Here is a 19,975-nt window from a genome sequence, read left to right as displayed (position 1 = left end):
CAGCTGTAGAAATAGGATCGGGGTGAACTTGATATGATACTCACTGACCTAATTGCTTCGGTTTACTGTCATTATCAGAGATTCCAAGCCTGACCCCTAGAATCACTTAAAAGAAAGAAATCCCTTGGAAGCTGAGACCTGTCCTTAGCTGAATGCCTGTTGGCACAAAGTTGATATTCACCATATCAACTTTCAACCAATCCCCAGTTTTCATACTGCTTCAAACCAGACACTAGAACGGGAGTTCGCAACTCTTGCTATTGCTGTATCCTTGAAAACTACAGGGAAATGTGGTGCTAGAAATGGAGTTCTATGTCTTCTCTTCATCTGCAATTCAGTGAATTTCTGACTTCCAGAAGCCCTTATAGTCATTCTCTGGATAATCTCACAAAGAGTTTTCAAAGCCCTCAAGGAAATGATTTTTCAATGGAGAAAATAATGCTAGTGACTGTAGGTTAATGAGTTCCCCCCTCCCCCACCAGATTACTTAAGGCTGTATGTCTGCTGCCTGAACCCTGAAGGCCAGGTGGTGGTCTAAGGCCATGCATGGTGCCCAGCTTAGGAGCCGAGGTGTCTGTGAGAACCAAAACATCCCAGAGTGTACTGGGAAACATACCAAGAGAAAGAGTCTCATTGCATACAGAAGGCAAAGAGCCAGAAAATTAGCTTAAAAGCAGCTTGCAGAGGAGTGTCAGGGCAGATCCCCAGAGCTGTCCTGCTGCCACCCAGGAATGCCCTATACGTAAGTCCCAAGAAATTCATCTGCTTATCAAGCCGGACTTGTCCGGGTCATTCTTTGGTCTCTTAGCTCCTTCCCAGTTTTCAGGGGGCATTATTCTATACAGTCCCAGGATTTTCCCTTATCAGTACCTGATGCCCAGATTCGGCTCAGGCAAGCATACTGAAGAATGATCAGCCAATGAAGGGAAAACAGAGGGCCCACTGGATTCTCACTCAGCTAGTTAGGGGATGAGGCTGCAGAACCTGACTTCAGCTAGAACACAGGAGGAACTGAAATTTTCTTGCAGCTCAGAGGTTTATTAGTGAAGGGGATTGGGCCAGTTGGTGCTTACATGCTTGACCCCTGCATCCCTGTGTCCTGGCTATAGCGAGGAAGAGGGCTGACTGTTCGACTAACCACAGGTGATGTCCTCCCAGAAACATGCTGACCTCTCTCTCCTGAGTCCCTGTTGCCATAGCTGGGGTCCAGCACTATCAGTTAGGCTCCACATCTGTTTCTTGTGCTTGAGCTGGATGGATGATGTGTTTTAGGATCTCAGCATAGTATGGGCCAAATACCTGCTGATTATGATGCATCAGATTGAGAAACTTCCAGCCCAGTTCTGCCAACTCCTTTTCAATGAGAATGAGGCCTCCAGGAAAGTGTAGCAGAGACTCCTGCATGCCATGAAGCAAACAGCATTTGAGAAAAAAACGGATCCACTGATCTGTGAGCAGGGAAAAACAATGACAAGAGGAACGAAGTCGGTACAGAAGAAATTCACAATGCCTTTGCTCTATCTGCTCACCAAAGTTTTGCATTAACCGAGTTATTCACTGACCTCTCTGCTCATTTGGGTAAACCGTATACATGAGATTTTTGTTTGTTTGGGGGAATGGAATGCCATCAATCTCCCAAAGGACAATGCATGATCAAAAGATGCTGAGGTAGTAAATTTCTGGGGGTTCATAAGATTACTTTATGTAGCTGTATGTGAGATCCTAGGGCACGTTTAACTTAACAAGAGGACCGTAGACCCGGTACCTGAAAGTAACAACACATGTTGCAGCCAGTGCACCAAGTTCAGGCCCATACACCCAATCCAGGCTATGATCAGATGGTAAAGTTCAAAGCAAGCTGGCCAAGTTCACTGCTTCCATTCCAGCATGGAACATGTCCTACAGCCCAACTCAGCATCACTTCCATGGAGAGGCGTAGGGGCCCAAATGGTAGCTTAAAGCATAGGATAGAGAAAGGGTTCCTCCATATATCTTGGCCGACATTTAGAATATGACCAGGAATGGGCTGGGCGTGGTGGCTCACGTATGTAATCCCAGCACTTTGGGAGTCCGAGGCAGGCGGATCACGAGGTCAGGAGTTCGAGACCAGCCTGGCCAACATGGTGAAACCCCATCTCTACTAAAAATACAAAAAAAAATAGCCAGGCATGGTGGCGCGTGCCTGTAGTCCCAGCTACTCGGGAGGCTGAGGCAGTAGAATCGCTTGAACTCAGAAGGTGGAGGTTGCAGTGAGCCTAGATCGTGTCACTGCACTCCAACTTGGGCAACAGAGTGAGACTTTGTCTCAAAAAAAAGAAAAGAAAAGAAAAGAGAAAATACCAGGAATGACTTCATAGGGTTAGCGTGATAATATCCAACACCTGTGAATGACATATCTTGGGTACAGAGCTGTCTTCAAACCATACATGCATTCTCCAAATTGAGAAAGATCTATTTGAACAGTGCACATTATAGACGAGGAAACTAAAGCTAAAAAACTTCCCAAATGATCATGCCTTTTCATTTTTAAATGCTTAGGTAACTCACATTCAGGGTAAGGTCTACCCACCCATGCCCCACATTCTTGCCACTTTTCTGCACGACGACCATGGAGATTCTTACCAACAATGCTACGAATGCAGTTCTCTTTCTTGGTGATGTTCTGGAGTTGGCCTAGAAGAGATGCTGTGTTTTCACTGCTCAGAGTAGTGAGGCCCATGTCCTTAAGGCCTTGATGGACTTCCTGAGACACCTGTTCACTCACACTCAGCATAGTCTCTTCAGGCCTAGATAATAAGGGATAGAATGCAGAGTGGGCCTGGCAGAGGGGCAAAGCCCAGAGAGCCTCATACCACAAGCCAGGCCTATTCCAGGAAGAATTCTGGCTCTCTGCCACCAGAAGACAGCATTAGCCACTGGGCAGATGAAATACACTCATTGTTACCCGCAAGGTACCACCTGATCCAAACACACAGCACCATATGCCACTTCGATGAAAACAAAGTAAATTGGGCAAGGGTTCAGTTCCATCCTTGGATCTACTCGGCATTCTCCAGTCCCATCAACTGTATTTAAATGTTGTTTTAAGACTCTATTGGATATTTTTCATGGTTTTTCTCCTACCCCACCAATTAAATTGCTAATATATTAAGAGGCTTGGACTTCCTACTCCTCCTTGTACTTTGGTATAATATCCCTGCCCCCACATGCAGTGAATGGTCAATATCACTGACCAACCGATCAACTTCTAGATATACATAGCACAAATCCACTGTCATTCAATCACGTATATAATGACTCATTTTTAGCAAACACATAAGGAATATTTGTAGCAAACTGGCTTCCACACTCTCCTCTTTGGAAAATAAGTTTTATTTTCTGTATCCCAAACCTCAATACAAATTATCAAAGATACCAAAATCTTTGAAGATCATTTCCAAGGGCCTTTGTGTGGTTTGTGATGAAGAATAAGCAATAATAGTATTGATATTACCTATGTCCCAAATACCACACATTTCCCTCTCTAACAGAGATCTATGAATCTTACCTGGAGATAAATTCCTCAGTTAGGGCCTTGGTGGTGCATTTCAGTCTATCCACAAATTCAGGTGATCTGAATAAAACTTCACCAGAGAAGCTTCTGGCCACTAGCAAGACTGAGGCCAGGACAGTTAACTGGTGCAACTGGAATGCCAGTTCCTGGAGCCGGATTCTGTCCATCAGCAGAGTCTGGTGAGGGAGCGAAGGACAGCCCATCAGAAGAGGAGGGTTTGAATGGAGGCACTGAATACCATAGAACAAGGCAATGCCCAAACACACATCCCTACCTCTGGGAATTCTACGTTTTCAAGATCCCAGAGGAGGAGGTTCAGGTAACCTTGGTATAGCACCATTGTTGGACTGGGGGGCTCTGAATTGTTACCTGCCCCGCTTGGAAGTGAACACACCATGCTGCAGGAGGAGCTAGGTGAGTCAGGAGAACTCGGACATAGTGTAGTGATGTCTGTGGCTGCTTTGGTTAGCCATTTTGTGGTATAATCGAGGAGACCTACGACGAGAAGGGAATATGCATCTTAAAATTCCAAGGCTTAAAGATGATGGCTCTGAGACATACTCTTGGTCTATAAAGAAGTGATTTTGTAGATCTTTCTATCTTAGAGAAACATTCCTTCTCCCTACCCCTTGCCCAAGGAAGAAACTTTCTATTCAAAAAATAGAAAATACCCTCTATTGCTATAAGAAGGCAGACCTGAGGTCAAATCTCCCCTCTCCTGCCCTTGAATTTTAAACATACTGGGCTGTTTATCAAGGAGTTCCTGGAATTTAGCTTGTTCATACTGGATGGAATGTTCCTGCAGGTAGGGTCGAAAGCTCTGGATGGTATAGTTCACCATGTCCATTTTCATTAGGCCCAGAACACGGAGGATGCCCCTGCCGTAGGGAGAAACAGAACATTTACACTATTAAAGGAAATCTAGTCTGGAAGGGTGGAATCCAAGCAAGGAGCCATAAAAGCAGAGTATTTGAGAGTCAGAAGAAGCCTTAAAAACAAACAGTCCTATTTCAACTTATGAATAATGGTACTGTGGCCAGTGACCCAAGGCCATAGAGTGAGTTGATGGCAAAACTAAGGACAGTTATACCTCCTGACACTTTAACAACCAGATGAGAGCTCTTTTGCCTGTAGTCAGTCTGTCACCTTGAAAAAAGGGTAGTCAGTGAAAGGAAAATCACCAAGGTGTTAACAATTATATGTGGGTAGCTGGGATGTGGGTGACTGAATTTCTAACTCATTGAGCAGATCATTTTACTTTTCCGGGTCCTGGTTCTTCTAGCTGTGAAACACGGATAATCCTCTTTCCTGTCCCCTCACAAGGTCTGAGTTGGGACAAACAGGACAACATCTGGGAAAAGGCAATTTGCAATCTATAGGAGAAAGAATTACTGTACCTTAATGTCTTAACAGTATCATGACATAAAGGAGACCCAACTGATCTAAAGATCATCAAAAGGAACCCCGAGAGACTGTCCTTGGAAAATAAAAGCCAATAATCCAGAAAGGAGAAAAGGTGTGTTAGTCAGGTCATCAGTACACAAGAGTTAGATAAGACAGGGGCTATATCCACAGTGGCTGGCTCAGAGTTCTCCGGCACAGTGTCTAAGGCAGATTTGGGGGACAGCACATCTAGACTCTCACCTCAGTAACTGCACTGGATCTCTTATGGTCTCTAGTTTCTGTATCGCTTCATCTCGAACCGGTGCACATAGCAGAGCCATCAAATTGAGAATGTAGTTAGAAAGATGAGGGACATCCAGGGCCCCATGTTCTGCTTCCTGCTTGAGGAGATCTGTGTCCAGAGCTTCTTCTATCTCATTTCTTAGGCGGTTCTGCCATGGTAATAGCAGTGATAGCAAGGTCTGCCCAACAAAGGAAATCAAAGGAGCCAAGTTCTGTTCAGAACCTCAAACTTTCTCCAATGAACTATGCTCTTAGGCCAAAGGCATCCCAGATTATGTCTTCTGGGGGGGCAGAGAACTGAGTCTCTACATTTCTTAGAGAGTATTATTTCTTTCTGTCTAGAGGACAATTACCATTCAAGGCTTCACTGGGATCAGTTATAGTAGTAGTCATTACTATTTTTTAGGTAGAATGAGGTAAAAATATGAATAAAAATAAGAATGTGGTTTTAAATGTGTGGGATATAAGAAATATGAAATACACACCACCACAAGGAGATGAGGCATTCTTAATAAAGGATAAGGATATTTTTAGATTGTTTTACTCCAAAGTGTGAGGATAAAATAGCAAATCTGGAATCTTTAAGGTTCCCTTGAAATAGCCTTTTGACTCAAGCATGCAAGTTCCTTGTGGGCAAGGGCTCGCCTATTCATCTCCGGGATTCTGAAACACATAGACCATAGTGGGGTTTCAGTAAGAATTTGTTTAATTGAGTTATATATTGTTATAGTCATCGCCCAATGGTCAAGTTTCATCTTATACAAATAAAATGGAAGCTGCCCCATCCTATCTATTTAAGTAGTAGGTCACGTTAAAAAAAGTATGCTACTTGATATATTAACAGCCATTGACGATCCAAGGTTCTGAGATGCCCAGGAACTTCCCATCCACGAATGGGAGTTGGTTACTCACCTCCTTAACATCTTTTAGAAGTTCAAGGGCACAAGTGAAGTCAGGAGGAGTACTCAATAGCTGTTCTTTCAGATGGTTCCAAAAAGCATTGTACATTGCCTCCGCAAACCTGCCTTCTACACTATAAGAAGGGTTAAATGAGCAGATTGCTCTTTTACCTAGAAAATTGATACAGGATCATAATTTCCCAAACAGCATTTAAAATTATGAAAGACCATTAACTTGACAGGCTAGGAGGACCTATGTTTAGACTTGAGAAGGGCTGAATAAACTGAAGGTAGTCTCAGATGGAAAAGCATTGGCTAAATTCTCTCAGAAGGGTACCTCAAGGTTCCAGAGACACTCTCTTCCTGCAGCAGGAAGAACCATAAACTAGGAGTTGAGACTCTGACTTCTAACCCTAGTTCTGCACCTAGCCTGGATGTGTGACTTAGTTTCCACTGCCATAGACTTAAAACTTTGAACCAGATGCTATTTTTCCTTCAGGCCTGAAATCTAGGAAAGGATTTTACCTCTTGATAATACCTGAAGGTCTTCTGAGACACTTTAAATTCAGCAAGCCCAAAACTGAACTCCTTATCTTCCTTCTTTAAATTTGTTCCTCATGTATACTTAGTTCTGTAACCAGAAATCTGAGACTTTTTCTCTTTAAAAAAATATAATAGTAGGCCGGGCGCGGTGGCTCACGCCTGTAATCCCAGCATTTTGGGAGGTCGATGCGGGCGGATCACGAGGTCAGGAGTTTGAGACCATCCTGGCCAACATGGTGAAACCCCGTCTCTACTAAAAACACAACAATTAGCTGGGCGTGGTGGCGGGTGCCTATAGTCCCAGCTACTCCGGAGGTTGAGGCAGGAGAATTGCTTAAACCCGGGAAGCAGAGTTTGCAGTGAGCCGAAATAGTGCCACTGCACTCCAGCCTGGTGACAGAGCGAGACTCGGTCTCAAAAAAAAAAAAAAAAAAAATATATATATATATATATATATATATGTATATACACACACACACATATATACACACACGTGTGTATATATACGTGTATGTATATAATAGTAATGTATGTTTTCTGTTTACAAAAATACAAGTGATTAAAAAATATATGAAACAAAAATTCAAAGTTTCTCCTCCAACACAACAATCTAACCTGTGAAAGTTCAACTATTATCTATCTGGTGTGTACTGTAGTCCTTCTTAATTCCTTTCCCCTCATGTCCTTTATCCACTCAGTCACCCAATTCCAGAGATTTTGCTTCCTAAATATCTCTGGAATCGGCCCCCACCCACTGTCATCTCTTTCCTGAACTATTGCTATAGTCTATTAAATGGCCACCTTACACCCACAAAACCTTACCCCAACAATGGTACATATTTTTGATAAAAATCAATGAGTTTTCTAAGATACAAATCTGATCATAATAGTATACTCATTTAAAGTTCTTCAGACGCTACCTATCTCTAGCAGTGTACGTGGCCTTTAAGTCCCTTCACGATCCTATTCTGCCACTTCTCCTACCTTAACCTTCTTTCTCCTCCTACATCCTGTGCTCTAACAATCACAGTCCACTTATAATTAATATATAATTGTCTTCCATCCCTCTATGGCTCTGAAATGACATTTCCTCTTCCAGGAGAGTCCCTTCTCCCCTAAACCACCTGAAAAGACTCAATTCAAGTGTTACCTTATTAGGAAAGTCTTCGCTGACCTTCCCCAGGTAGCTGAGCACTGCATAGAACTCCACACACTAGATATGAGATAACTTATCACTCTGCACAGTAGCTATTTGACTATCTTCCCTACAGAAGCTTTTTGATGGCAAAGACAGTGACTCACTCAACTATATGTCTTCAGCTTTCAACATTCTGCCTTCCACCTAATAAGTACTCAATAAATGTTTGTTGAATAAATGTCTTATTATGAGATTTCCCCTAAAAACCGGTAACTGTGCTTAGTATAATTTTATAAGTCCAAAGGGAAAACTGTCAATTATCTGTAGATAATGGATAACCCCAAACTCTATTTCAACCTCTTATCCAGTATACATTTTGTATTACTACATTTGAAAAAGCCTGTTAATTTAAAAAACACAGTGAAATCCAAGCCCTAAATAATATTATTCCTCCTGCTTCATCTATCCACCCCCTGAGATCCCTAGCCACTTTAACAGACCTTCATTCTCTTAGCTTCACTTTTTTCTGCACCCCTACCAGGAGAAAAACAAATCTAACTCGGGCCGCAGGGACTATAAAGGCAATGAGGGAGATGCTACGAGACCTGTGTTTTGGTAAAAACTTCCTTCAGGTAACCCATCCTTGGCAACAGACAAAGGAAAATCTAAGAAGTATGAAGATCAAGAGAACCACTGACAAAGCAAGGGGCTTTACGTAACAGAATCCCAAAAGTGGCAAAATAACAGAAGCATTTAAGGTGGGAAATTAGAAATACCGTAAAATATAGATTCTGACAAAGAAATCAACCCATTTAACTCTTAATAAACACTAGAAGCATTCAATCCATAAATGCTGGATGATTCTTAATCATATATTGTTATATCAATATAATTAAGAGAAACCAATATAAAGCCTAATTGTAGAAGCACACTATTTATCGATGGGGTTCTAATCTTGATTCACAGAATCTTTATTACACTGATTATGAAGCAGAAGTGTCCCCTGAAATTTCCTACTCCTGAAGAGTGAACAAAACCACTATTAGAAAATCTGCTCATCTCTGCCTGTTTAATCTGCAGATAATTAAAAGTTGAACGGCTAGGAGTTACCTCTTCCAAGTCTGTCTGAAAAGATCTGAAAATCACTCTACGTTTCATTATTAACTAAGATCCTGAAATGAACATTTTGACAATACAGAATGAATACCCCTTTTCCAAGATGTTTGGGACGGGAGTATTTTGGATTACGGATTATTATTGTTATTATTATTATTTGAGACAGGGTCTCACTCTGTCGCCCAGACTGGAGTGCAGTGGCGTGTTCGCGATCTCAGTTCACTGCAACCTCTGCTTCCCAGGCTCAAGGGATCCTCCCACCTCAGCCTCCTGAGTAGCTGGGACTACAGGCATGCACCACCATGCCCGGCTAATTTTTGTATTTTTTGCATAGACAAGGTTTCGCCATGTTGCCCAGGCTGGCCTTGACTTCCTGGACTCAAGCAATCCACCTGCCTCGGCCTCCCAAAGTGTTGGAACTTAACAGTCGTGAGACACTGCGCCTAGCCAGATTACGGATTTCTTGGATTTTGGAATATTTGCAGCATACTTGTATACCGCAATGAGCATTTCCTTTGAGCATCATGTTGGCGCTCAAAATGTTTTGGATTTTGGAGCATCGTGGATTTCCGATTTGGGATGTTCAACCTGTAACTGCATTGGTTTATTACCTGTTTAAATATAATTTGCTGCTTTGACACTTTTAAAGTAATACTTACACTAATTTGTCGGTACTATATAAGACACACTCAACCATTAAATTTATTAATAAGATGCTTCAAGTCTGACCAAAAGTCATTTGTGCTATGTACCTATGCCCCGAAGAGTAAAATGGAAAAAAACTGAATAATCTGTACCTGTTTGGAGGCAAAATGGTCTCTTCCACATAGAAATCTTGGTTTACTACAATTTCATGTGAAATGCTCAGCTTGGAAACTTCATTAACTGTCTCTATCAGATCTGTGACAGAAAAGACATCAGGTCTGCTTTCCGGAAAAAGAAAGAAAAAAAGCATAGCCATCATCAACAGGGAACCCACACAAAGAGAATTTTTATTTTATTTAGAGATTCACTCTGCCAAGTAAGGCTCCCAAGTTTAGATTCATCAAACGGATCTTACACAGACTTATTCAATCATTTTACCACCAGAAGTTTTCTGAACTCTTTGCTCTTCAGTAACACTGAACATCTCAGAGAAGTCAGGCATGGGAGGAAGAAATTAGTTTTTGAAAAACATAAAACAGTTTTGAAAACCTTCCACTTGAAATGTAAAACCATAAGCAAAACACAGCAAACAATGAATAAGTTGTGATTTGTAAAATTAATGTGTATCTAAAAGTTATTGTGTTCCCACTGTTCTCTTCCTACCTCAGGGGCTACACACAAGATGAAGGCTAAAATCTCCTTATAGATACCACACGAATCTTACTAGATGGCTCTAAAGCTGAAACCTGCTCCTAAAACAGTAGTTTCCAAATCTGGGTATTCAACAGACAACACTTCAAAACAACATGAGTGACAGATAATGATTTGACAATTTTTATTTTTCCACATATGGACATGAAAGCAAACAAGCAAACAATGAAACTACCCTACCATCATCAAAATAATCACTTCATAAAAAGAAAACATATTTTAACACCTCAGAAAGTATAAAGAAAACACAGTCAGCATTAAGAGTACTCTTTTAAATTGAATCAATTTAATATTATTTTAAAAACTCATTACAACCTCTTTATTGTTTTATTTCATTCAATATTGGTAAGAACTATGTCCTAGCCCAGCATTCGAATTTGGGAACCAGTGTTCTAAATTCATCATACAGAGTACTTTCAGTAGTAAAACAAAGTATATATAGTAGTCACAATTATTACTTGATATGTAAAATAAAATATGCAATAAAACTATTTTGTAACTCAATTTTAATGTAGTTTCATAACTTGGTCAGAGAGAACGATTTATCCTTAAGATATAATAAAACTCACATATAAGAATCCTAAAGCTCACTCCAAGAAGATGGTCCATTTATGCCCATTTATTTTTCATTTAAAAAACCGTTGATAAGACTTCTGTTGAAAAGTTGGTCCATCAACTGGTATTTCCCTTCTATACTAACTAAAAAGCTACATATGTTAAAATATACCATCTAATTAATTCATTAAGACATCATTTCTTTGAGAGATATTATGAAGTATGAATTGTGCCATTCTGCTTACTAGCAGTGACCCCAAGTGGCCACCAGAGAAACACACGTAATTCAACTTCATATTTTTTCCCCGTTTCAGTGTTCAAGAGGTTGGATCAAATTGCTACATCTGGAGAGGTCTGCAGATTAACCTTTGGTTAAATTCACTGGAGATTATTGTAAAAGAACTGCAATTTGAGTTCCTGTGAGGTTGGACTAGTCAAGCCAAAGCTTCAAATGCCTAACATAAGGTGTGAAAAAGACTTAAAGTCCCAATGTTCACATAAAAATGCTATTATTAAAGACCTAAATAATTTTACCCCAGAGCAGTGGTAATTTTTATGTCAACAAAGCACCCCTGGAAAAGGACAGAACACAACTGAAGCAACAGATAATTTGGATCACTTCGATCTGTCCTAGATCTACCATTTGCACTTTACAAAATCAAAATACAAGAATGCTATTTATTTCCCAGGCTTTGAACTGACTAAATCACTCTCGACTGTTGTCAAACACAAGTAACTTGCTTTGTCGGTCTCTTTCTCTAAAACCAAAATCTTTTAATTTTACTTACCAATTAGGGGCCTAAGTCCTGCATGTAAAAATTAGAGGGGGCAGAAAGACAAGAGAAAGAATAATCCAAAAGAGGACTAACAGAAGGATTAGTAAGGAAAAATGCAAGGTTGCAAGAGCCTTCTATATCCCTTAAAGGCCCTTAAATCACAGGCTGTCTATTCCTTTAGCCTAATTGCTGTCCATAGAAGTGATGACATGATTCTAGACCTACCAGGAGACTGGTCATCTAAACAGAAACTCTTGCTTTTCTGGCTCTGCCCTGGTGTTTTAGGCTCAGGGGCCCCATTCTCTGCTACACTGGGATCATTCTGGAGCACAGTTTCCTCAGTCTTCGGCATCTTGATGTTATCTGGAATTGGAGAGAAAAGAAGAGGCAAGCTGTGTAAGACCTGACTCTCGCCCAGGGACAAAAAGAAAGAGCGCTCTTCAACTACAATTGTGTGTCCTGGTGACTGAACCCGCTGCCGTCAGTTGAAAGGATTAAGTACCAGGGCTCAAAGGTTCTCAAAGGAACAACTAGGGTCTTCAAACAGGCCTCGAGGGGAAGGGGAATTAGTGGCACTTCCTTTACTGAAATCAAAGAAGTCTGGTCTTGGGCAAGCAGAAGAGGAAAACAAGGCCCAGAGATGGACAATTAACTCGCCAGAAGCGGGGCACACTGCACATTACTGACCAAGCTAGGAAAGGAATCTTCCTCGGCTCTGGCTACCTTTCATTGGTCCTGGAATACCTTCTAACTCCTTAGCTACTGCTCCAGACCTTCCTGAAGGGGCTCTGCCGGCCTGGACTCAGGCAGCAGGGTATCCCCCACAGCCCTCGCGACCCTGGTCCCTCACCTCCTCCTCGTCCTCGACTGGCGGCCTCGCCTCTGCGTCTGCTAGCGAAGCCCCTCTGCCTCCCCAACCTGGTCTGGGAAGTACCATTGTAGCCAGGAAGAGAGGGGAGATCATCAGGGAGGAGTAGGACGGAACCATGGAGATTATGAGGTCCACCTGGAGCGCACCCCTACCTGTGACACAAGATAGGAGAGTCCAAACATGAAAACAAAGGGTGATCCGTTTCCAGGGTAGCGGGGTGGTATCACTTGCCCAGGGTGCCTTGGAAACCAAGACGGCAGGAAACGCAAGCAGAGCCTCACCATTGGGTGACAAAGGCAGGAGGCTGAGATAGACGTAAGGAGGCTTCATGTCCAAACCCTCCCGCCCAGGCTCGGAACCCCTCAGGAGCTTGGAAGTCATCTTCTCAAGCCCTGCTCCTCGTGAACGAACTGTTCAAAGCTTTTATCCTTACTGCCCCAGAAACAAAAATAGCATTTAAATAACTATTTAGGGGGAAAAAATAAGCGTTTGTTGTTTATTTGTTTCACTTCATGCTGTTCATACAGCCCCTACAAATGAAGAACCAACAGGGCTACAAAATTCCAGAAGTCTGTTTTGGGTTTTCTTTTATCTTTTGTATAAGTGAATCCTCCACACAAAGTAAGGAGAGACACATGAACTGTTAAACTCTCATTTTACAAATATGCAAATCAAGAATCATTTTAAAGGGCTAGCCACAGAAGCTGTGTGGTAAAGGGGCAAGACCATAAGCCTGAGAGGAATCCTACATTTTGGTTTGGGTTCTTTCAGCTCAATTCTTGGCATGTTCTTCATTGCAATCCAATTGTGAGCTTTGGAGCTCATCTGTAAACTGAGGGCACTGGAACGGACGATCCTAAGGGGCCTCATGTTGCTCACTCTTCAGTCCTAGTCTACTTTGTCACTCCACTGGCCAGTCACCACAGTGATATGAGGACCCCTGGATTGGCCTATTTCCAGCATATATACATTTCCACACTATACTAGTTGATCCCTCTCTTACCCTGACTTAATTTCTTAACACATTAACTTGTTTCTTTTATAAATCAAGACTATACTTTGACCAGATTCTCACCACAATCCTCGCCTTGTTAGTGGCAACAGTACCGTGTGAATATCTTGCACAACATGGGGATTTTGAAGAAGAAAGTTATGGGGAAGAGGTCCAAGAACTTTCCAGCCTAGGAAAAATCCACCTTAACTTCCAGGCACAGGAGGATATGAGGGGACTTGGCTAGTAAAGTTAGCGCTTAGCTAAAGAGTTTATTTTACTAATGAATACTAAATCTGAATTCCCTCCTCATCCTCTCCTAGTATTTCCTTCAGTAATATCAGCTGTGAAACAAATTGCTCTCATATCAACCCCAGGATAAATGTTTAAATATATTTTTCTTGATTTGAACATAAAATTATACATTCATAAGGCATATGTTTCACTATACCAGAAGTTCATTTCTCATTAAAAAAATCAGAATTCTATTGTATTTCTTTCTAAGAAAACCTTCCAGAATGACACCAATTCATCTTCTCACAAAATTGCATTGTTAAAAAAAAAAAAAACTCTACGCAGTGATAACCTAAAATTCTATCAGCTCTTCATTCAAATAGTGAAATAGTCTTTTGAAGTGTCTTTTAATATTGAAATCCCCTGGGAGAGGTAATGAGGGGAAATAGAAGTGTGGGAAAAATAAAGGGAGAGAACTAGTGGAAAACAGCAAATCACATTTTGCCTAGGGATGGCCCAGATACTGTATTTAATAATACGTATTATCAAGAGTTGTCAAGAACCAACTAGAGGAACAGAGAGAGATGGTGGAATAGAAGGCTATACCTTGTGTACCCCCTGCAGGAACACCAAATTGCAACCACTATCTGCATACAGAAAAGCATCATCATGAGAACCAAAAGTCAGGTGAGCAATCACAGTGCCTGGTTTTAAATTCATATTGTTGGAACAGACATTCAAGAGGTCAGACAGAGACAGTCAGTCTTAAATCGCCGATGCCACCCCTCCCCCGTATCCTGGCAGCAGCTGTGCAGCCCAGAGAGTCTGTACACTTGGGAGAAGAAGAAGGCAGTGACTGGGGAACTTCACATTGAACTCAGTGCTACCCTGCCATACCAGAGAGCAAAGCCGTGCTGGGCTCAGCCAGTGCCCACTCACAGAGGGAGCATCTGGACCAGACCTAGCTAGAGGGGATTCACCCATCCCAGGGCGGAGAACTTGAGTCTCTCGGCAATCCACACCACTACAGGCCAAAGTGCTCTGGGGTCCCAGGTAAACTTGAAGGGATGCCTAGGACACAAAGACTGCAATTCCTAGGCAACTCCTAGGAAATTAAACGATATGCACATAAATGAACAGTGGATCAAAAAAGAAGTTAAAAAGGAAACTGAAAACTTTTACGAAACAAATGATAATGGAAACACAACATACCAAAACCTATGGGATACAGAAAAAGCAGTACTGATATCAAAATTTATAGCTGTAAATGCCTACATTGAAAAGAAGAACGACTTCAAATAAAAAACCTAATGATGCATCATAAAGAACTATAAAAATAAGAGTAAATTAGAGGAAAACAAATTAGAAGAAAAGAAACAATAAAGATCAGAGCAGAAATAAATGAATTTGAAATGAAGAAAACAATACAAAAGATCAATGAAACAAAAAGTTGCTTTTTTGTTAAAGGTAAACAAAATTGACAAATGTTTAGCCGGACTCATGAAGAACAAAATGGAGAAGACCCAAATAAATAAAATCAGAGATGGAAGAGGAGACATTACGACTGATACCACAGAAATTCAAAGAATCACCAGTGGCTACTATGAGCAAGGATATGCCAATAGATTGGAAAATCTAGAAGAAATGGATAAATTTCTAGACACATACAATCTACCAAGATTGAAACACGAAGAAATCCGAAACCTGAGCAGACCAATAACAGGTAACACAGTAAAGCCTTAATAAATAGTCTCCGTCTATAGTAAAGCAAAGCCCGAGACCTTATGACCTCACTGCTAAATTCTACCAAACATTTAAAGAAGAACTAATGCCAGTCCTACTCAAACTACTCTGAAAAATAGAGGAGGAGAAAATATTTTCAAACTCATCCTACAATGCCAGTATTACCCTGATACCAAAACCAGACAAACACACATCAAAAAAGGAAAACTACAGGCCAATGTCTCTGATGAATATTGATGCAAAAATCCTCGACAAAATACTAGTGAACCCAATTCGACAATACACTAGAAAGATCTTTAATCATGACCAGGAAGGATTTATCCCTGGGATGCAAAGATGGTTCAACATGCACAAATAAATCAGTGTGACACATCATACCAACAGAATGAAGGACGAAAACCATATTATCATTTCAAGTGATGCTGAAAAAGCATTTGATAAAATTCAACATTACTTTATCATAAAAGCCCCCAAAACACTGTGTATAGAAGGAACACGCCTCAACATAATAAAAGCCATAAAAAACAGAGATCCACAGCTAGTATCATAAGAATGAGTAGAAAGTGAAAGTCTTTCCTGTAAGATCTGGAATACAACAAGGATACCCACTTTCACTCCTGTTGTTTCACCACTATGAAACTACTACTACAAGAAAACATTGGGGAAACTGTCCAGGATATTGGTCTGGGCAAAAAATTCTTGAGTAATATCCCATAAGCACAGGCAAACCAAGGCAAAAATAGACAAATGGAATCACATCAAGTAAAAAGCTTCTGCACAGTAAAGAAAACAATCACAAAATGAAGAGACAACACACAGAATGGGAGAAATATTTGCAAACTACCCACCTGACAAGAGATTAATAACCAGTATATATAAGGAGCTCAAACAACTCTATAGGAGAAAATCTAATAATCCAATTAAAACATGGGCAAAAGATCTGAATAGACATTTCTCAAAAGAAGACATACAAATGGCAAACAAGCGCATGAAAAGGTGCTCGACATTAGTGATCATCAGAGAAATGCAAATCAAAACTACAGTGAGGTATCATCCGCCCCAGTTAAAATGGCTTATATCCGAAAGACAGACAATAACAAATGCTGGCAAAGTTGTGGACAAAAGGGAACCTTTGTACACTGTCGGCAGGAATGTAAATTAGTATAACCACTATGGAGAACACTTGGAAGTTCCTCAAAAAACTAAAAACAGAGCTACCGTATGATCCACCAATACCACTCCTGGGTATATTTCTAAAAGAAAGAAAATCAGTATATTGAAGAGATATCTGCACTCCTCAATATATATTTGTTGGCTTCTTTTATTTCTTGGCGCACTTGGGGTTACCCACTCTGAGTACACATATCACAGTTTGCAAAGTCATTTATGAGAATTTTATGCCTTCAGCAGGGAATTTTTACCCTTCAGATGTGCCTTAACTCTACCTCAATACTGTGACCAATTACCATTTGTTAAATTATACTTTATGTATACTACTCCAAAAAAGAAAATTATCCTGAGAGTCAATCTTATCCATAAGGACACAAAAGAAGACTACGTAAAAGATATTCATAGATGTCCATAAGTGGTATAAAATTACAGAATTTAAGAGGAATACTGGGTAAAAATAATTTAGTTAACACATAAAAATTTAAACATTTCATTTTCAGAAAGAACCATTTGAGACTCAGAGAACTTAAATCACTTCTCTAAGACTGCCACCAGTTTACAGAAAAGTCAGGACTAGAACCCATATCTCAGATTGTTTATTCCACAATATATAGAGCCATGCAACAGCAATTTAACTAAGTATACACATTTGCTAAAGAAAAAAATGTAAATGATAAAATGATACACAATGGATTGTAAAACCAAGAGGTGAAGTTAAATGGGACTTTATTAGTCAAGATTCTCCAGAGGGACAGAACCAATGGGCTATATGTATACATGAAAGGGAGTTTATTAGGGAGAATTGGTTCACATAATTACAAGACGAAGTCCCACAATAGGCTGCCTGCAAGCTGTGGAAGAGAAAAGGCAGTAGTGGCTCAGTCCAAGTCCAAAAGCCTCAAAACCAGGGAAGCCAACAGTGCAGCCTGCAGTCTGTGCCTAAAGGCCTGAGAGCCCTCAGCAAGCCACTGGTGCAAGTCCCCGAGTCCAAAGACCAAAGAATCTGGAGTCTGATGTCCAAGGCAGTAGGAGCGGAAGGAAGCTTCCAGCATGGGAAAAGGAAGCCAGAAGACTCAGCAAGCAAACTTATCCCAGCTTCTTTTGGCTGCTTTGTTCTAGCCATGCTGGCAACCAATTGGATGGTGCCTGCCCACATTAACGGTGGGTCTTCCTCTCCCAGTCCACTGACTCAAATGTCAGTCTCCTCTGGCAACACCCTCACAGACACACACAGAAACAATACTTTACCAGCCACATCCTTCAATTCAATCAAGTTCACACCTGATATTGACTATCCTGGGGCCCAAGATACAGTATAGTGTAGTGGAAGATAAACAGCTAACTAAAGTGGTGGGGACACATAAATACAGGATGGCGCCTTTATTTATTTTGTCTTATTAGAGATGAAGGTCTTGCTATGTTGCCCAGGCTAAACTCAAACTACTGGGCTGAAGCAACCCTCCTTCCTCAGCCTCCCAAGTAGCTGGGACCACGATGCACACCACCATATCCAGCTTTAAATAAAACCACACAGAGTCATAAAATAGATTTATTTCATTACACTTCTCCTTTACAGTACAAAACTACATATCAACATTATCCATGTTAATCTTTTACCAATGTGTTTTCTTCACAGAACACAAAAGGAGTATGAGAAGGTTCTAGGTAATCTGGGGGCTTCCAAGCTAAAAGTGAGGCATGATGGGTGGAGAAACCAGTATAGATCTTCAAGGAAAGGAGAGATACAGAGCAATGGAAGATGAAACTTCTGACAGCAGCATTTAGTGTCTACTTCTACATTCACATCTCACGCCATTCATTCCTAGCGCATGGCAATACTGACCTTTTTTTCCTTTTCCTTAACAGGCCACGTGCCTTCCCACCTCAAGATCTTAATCATGCTATTTTTTCCCCCTATGATGCTTTCTTCCTTCTTTACCCACTTTTCCAGGACTAACTGATTCCTCATTGCTCAAATCTCAGCTTTCAAATTCTAAATTCCTCAGAGAACTTTCTATGGTTCTCCAATCTAAACAAGAGTTCCCTATTAACCCTTCTCTTAACATTCTGTACTTTTTAATAATAGGAATTACCACAGTTTGTAATTATACATTTATTTGCATAATTAGTATTTACTGAATATTGAACTTCACCATGAGTCTAAGCTTTCTGAGGGCAGGGGCTGTGCATTTGGCTCTTCACTGTGCCTAGAACATAATGGATACTCAATAAATAAAGTGTGGAATATGAATAAATGTCCTAACCCCACAGGGCAACAACACTGTTGGGAGAATGACATAAAATGGAACATCCTTCCCTGCCAAATGTGCTGGACTCATCTTAGTTCCCAGAGTCAGCCTTTCTTTCTTTGTGTTATAAACATGTTTCCTCTCTGTGTCTCTTTCAGTTCTTGGCTTCAGAACTCTGATCCACAACCTTCCCAGGAAACTAATCCCCTTATCTATAATTACCAAAGAAGACAGCATGCTGTAAATCAGATTTGCAGGAAGTCAGATTGCTCTCTCTAGTAACAATCCAAGAAACTAAACAACTTCTGTAACAATTGGCCCCAAATGGCAAGTACTTTATTAATAGTTGACAGCTTTTCCAATTTTTGTTCCTGCATCCACCTAACAAACTAAATATGAACCTCCTAACCAATCACATAAATTGTTCTGCTTCTAGTTAGCCCACCTACAGCTTCCCTATGCGAAAAAGCTCCAATCAGGGAATACCTGAAGTCTTCCCTTTTTTCCACTATAAAGTTTTCCCACTTCTCTGCCTGCCTTTGAGTCTCTGCCAAAACACAAATGATGATGGCTGACTCATTTGCTATAGTAAGTTCCGAATAAACAGTCTTCGCTTATTCTCATTTGGTTGCTTTTCATTTATTTCCATGCCAGCAAGTGTCTTTAAAGCCGAGAACGAATAAAGCATCAGCTTGGGAAAAAAGAGAGAACATTTTAGGTCCTGAGACCACAGGGGTTTTCCCAGGACATGTGGCAGCAGAGGGCAGCAGCATCCCAGAAGTGACTCAGAGAGGCCTATTCCTGGGTAAGGGATCTCTCACTATTACCCTCACTCTTGCTCTTTCTCATTCGCTGTCCTGCTTGTTTATAAGATGGTGTTAGAGGCAACCTCAGCCCAAAGATACCAGGCTGATTTTAAAGCCCTACCAAGAGCTGCATCACCACAATTGTACCTGGTGCTCCAGGACATGAATGAGTTACACACTTAGAGCAGTTTCAACAAAAATACACTCAGCTGGTTTTGAATTCTGGCAAAAGTTGGTAGCTTATTTATGGGGTTTTTTGCTTGGTTGTTTTTAACTAGAGAGATTTTTT

At 40.9% G+C, this 19,975-nt stretch overlaps 1 protein-coding gene across 2 annotated transcripts; it reads right to left on the bottom strand.

Moving 5' to 3' along the window:
- Window positions 1-1,017: 1,017 nt before the first annotated feature.
- On the bottom strand, window positions 1,018-12,512 carry TCP11X1 (t-complex 11 family, X-linked 1). Of its 2 annotated transcripts, none has more exons than NM_001368158.1 (10): window positions 12,473-12,512; window positions 11,848-11,985; window positions 9,733-9,858; window positions 6,152-6,272; window positions 5,198-5,388; window positions 4,295-4,431; window positions 3,828-4,048; window positions 3,548-3,729; window positions 2,623-2,786; window positions 1,018-1,448 (listed from the first exon to the last, which is right to left on the bottom strand). In NM_001368158.1, the coding sequence occupies exons 4-10, from the start codon at window positions 6,245-6,247 to the stop codon at window positions 1,216-1,218; spliced, it is 1,224 nt and encodes a 407-aa protein (NP_001355087.1). In that variant the 5' UTR covers window positions 6,248-6,272; window positions 9,733-9,858; window positions 11,848-11,985; window positions 12,473-12,512; the 3' UTR covers window positions 1,018-1,215. The 2 variants fall into 2 exon arrangements, with proteins under 2 accessions (NP_001355087.1, NP_001391955.1); NM_001405026.1 differs by having other exon boundaries at window positions 5,198-5,418; window positions 9,733-9,835.
- Between the last annotated feature and the right edge of the window lie 7,463 nt (window positions 12,513-19,975).

This window comes from Homo sapiens, chromosome X, assembly GCF_000001405.40.
Source record: "Homo sapiens chromosome X, GRCh38.p14 Primary Assembly".
In the NCBI taxonomy this organism is placed as follows: domain Eukaryota; kingdom Metazoa; phylum Chordata; class Mammalia; order Primates; family Hominidae; genus Homo; species Homo sapiens.
This window is presented reverse-complemented; position numbering and strand designations above follow the sequence as displayed.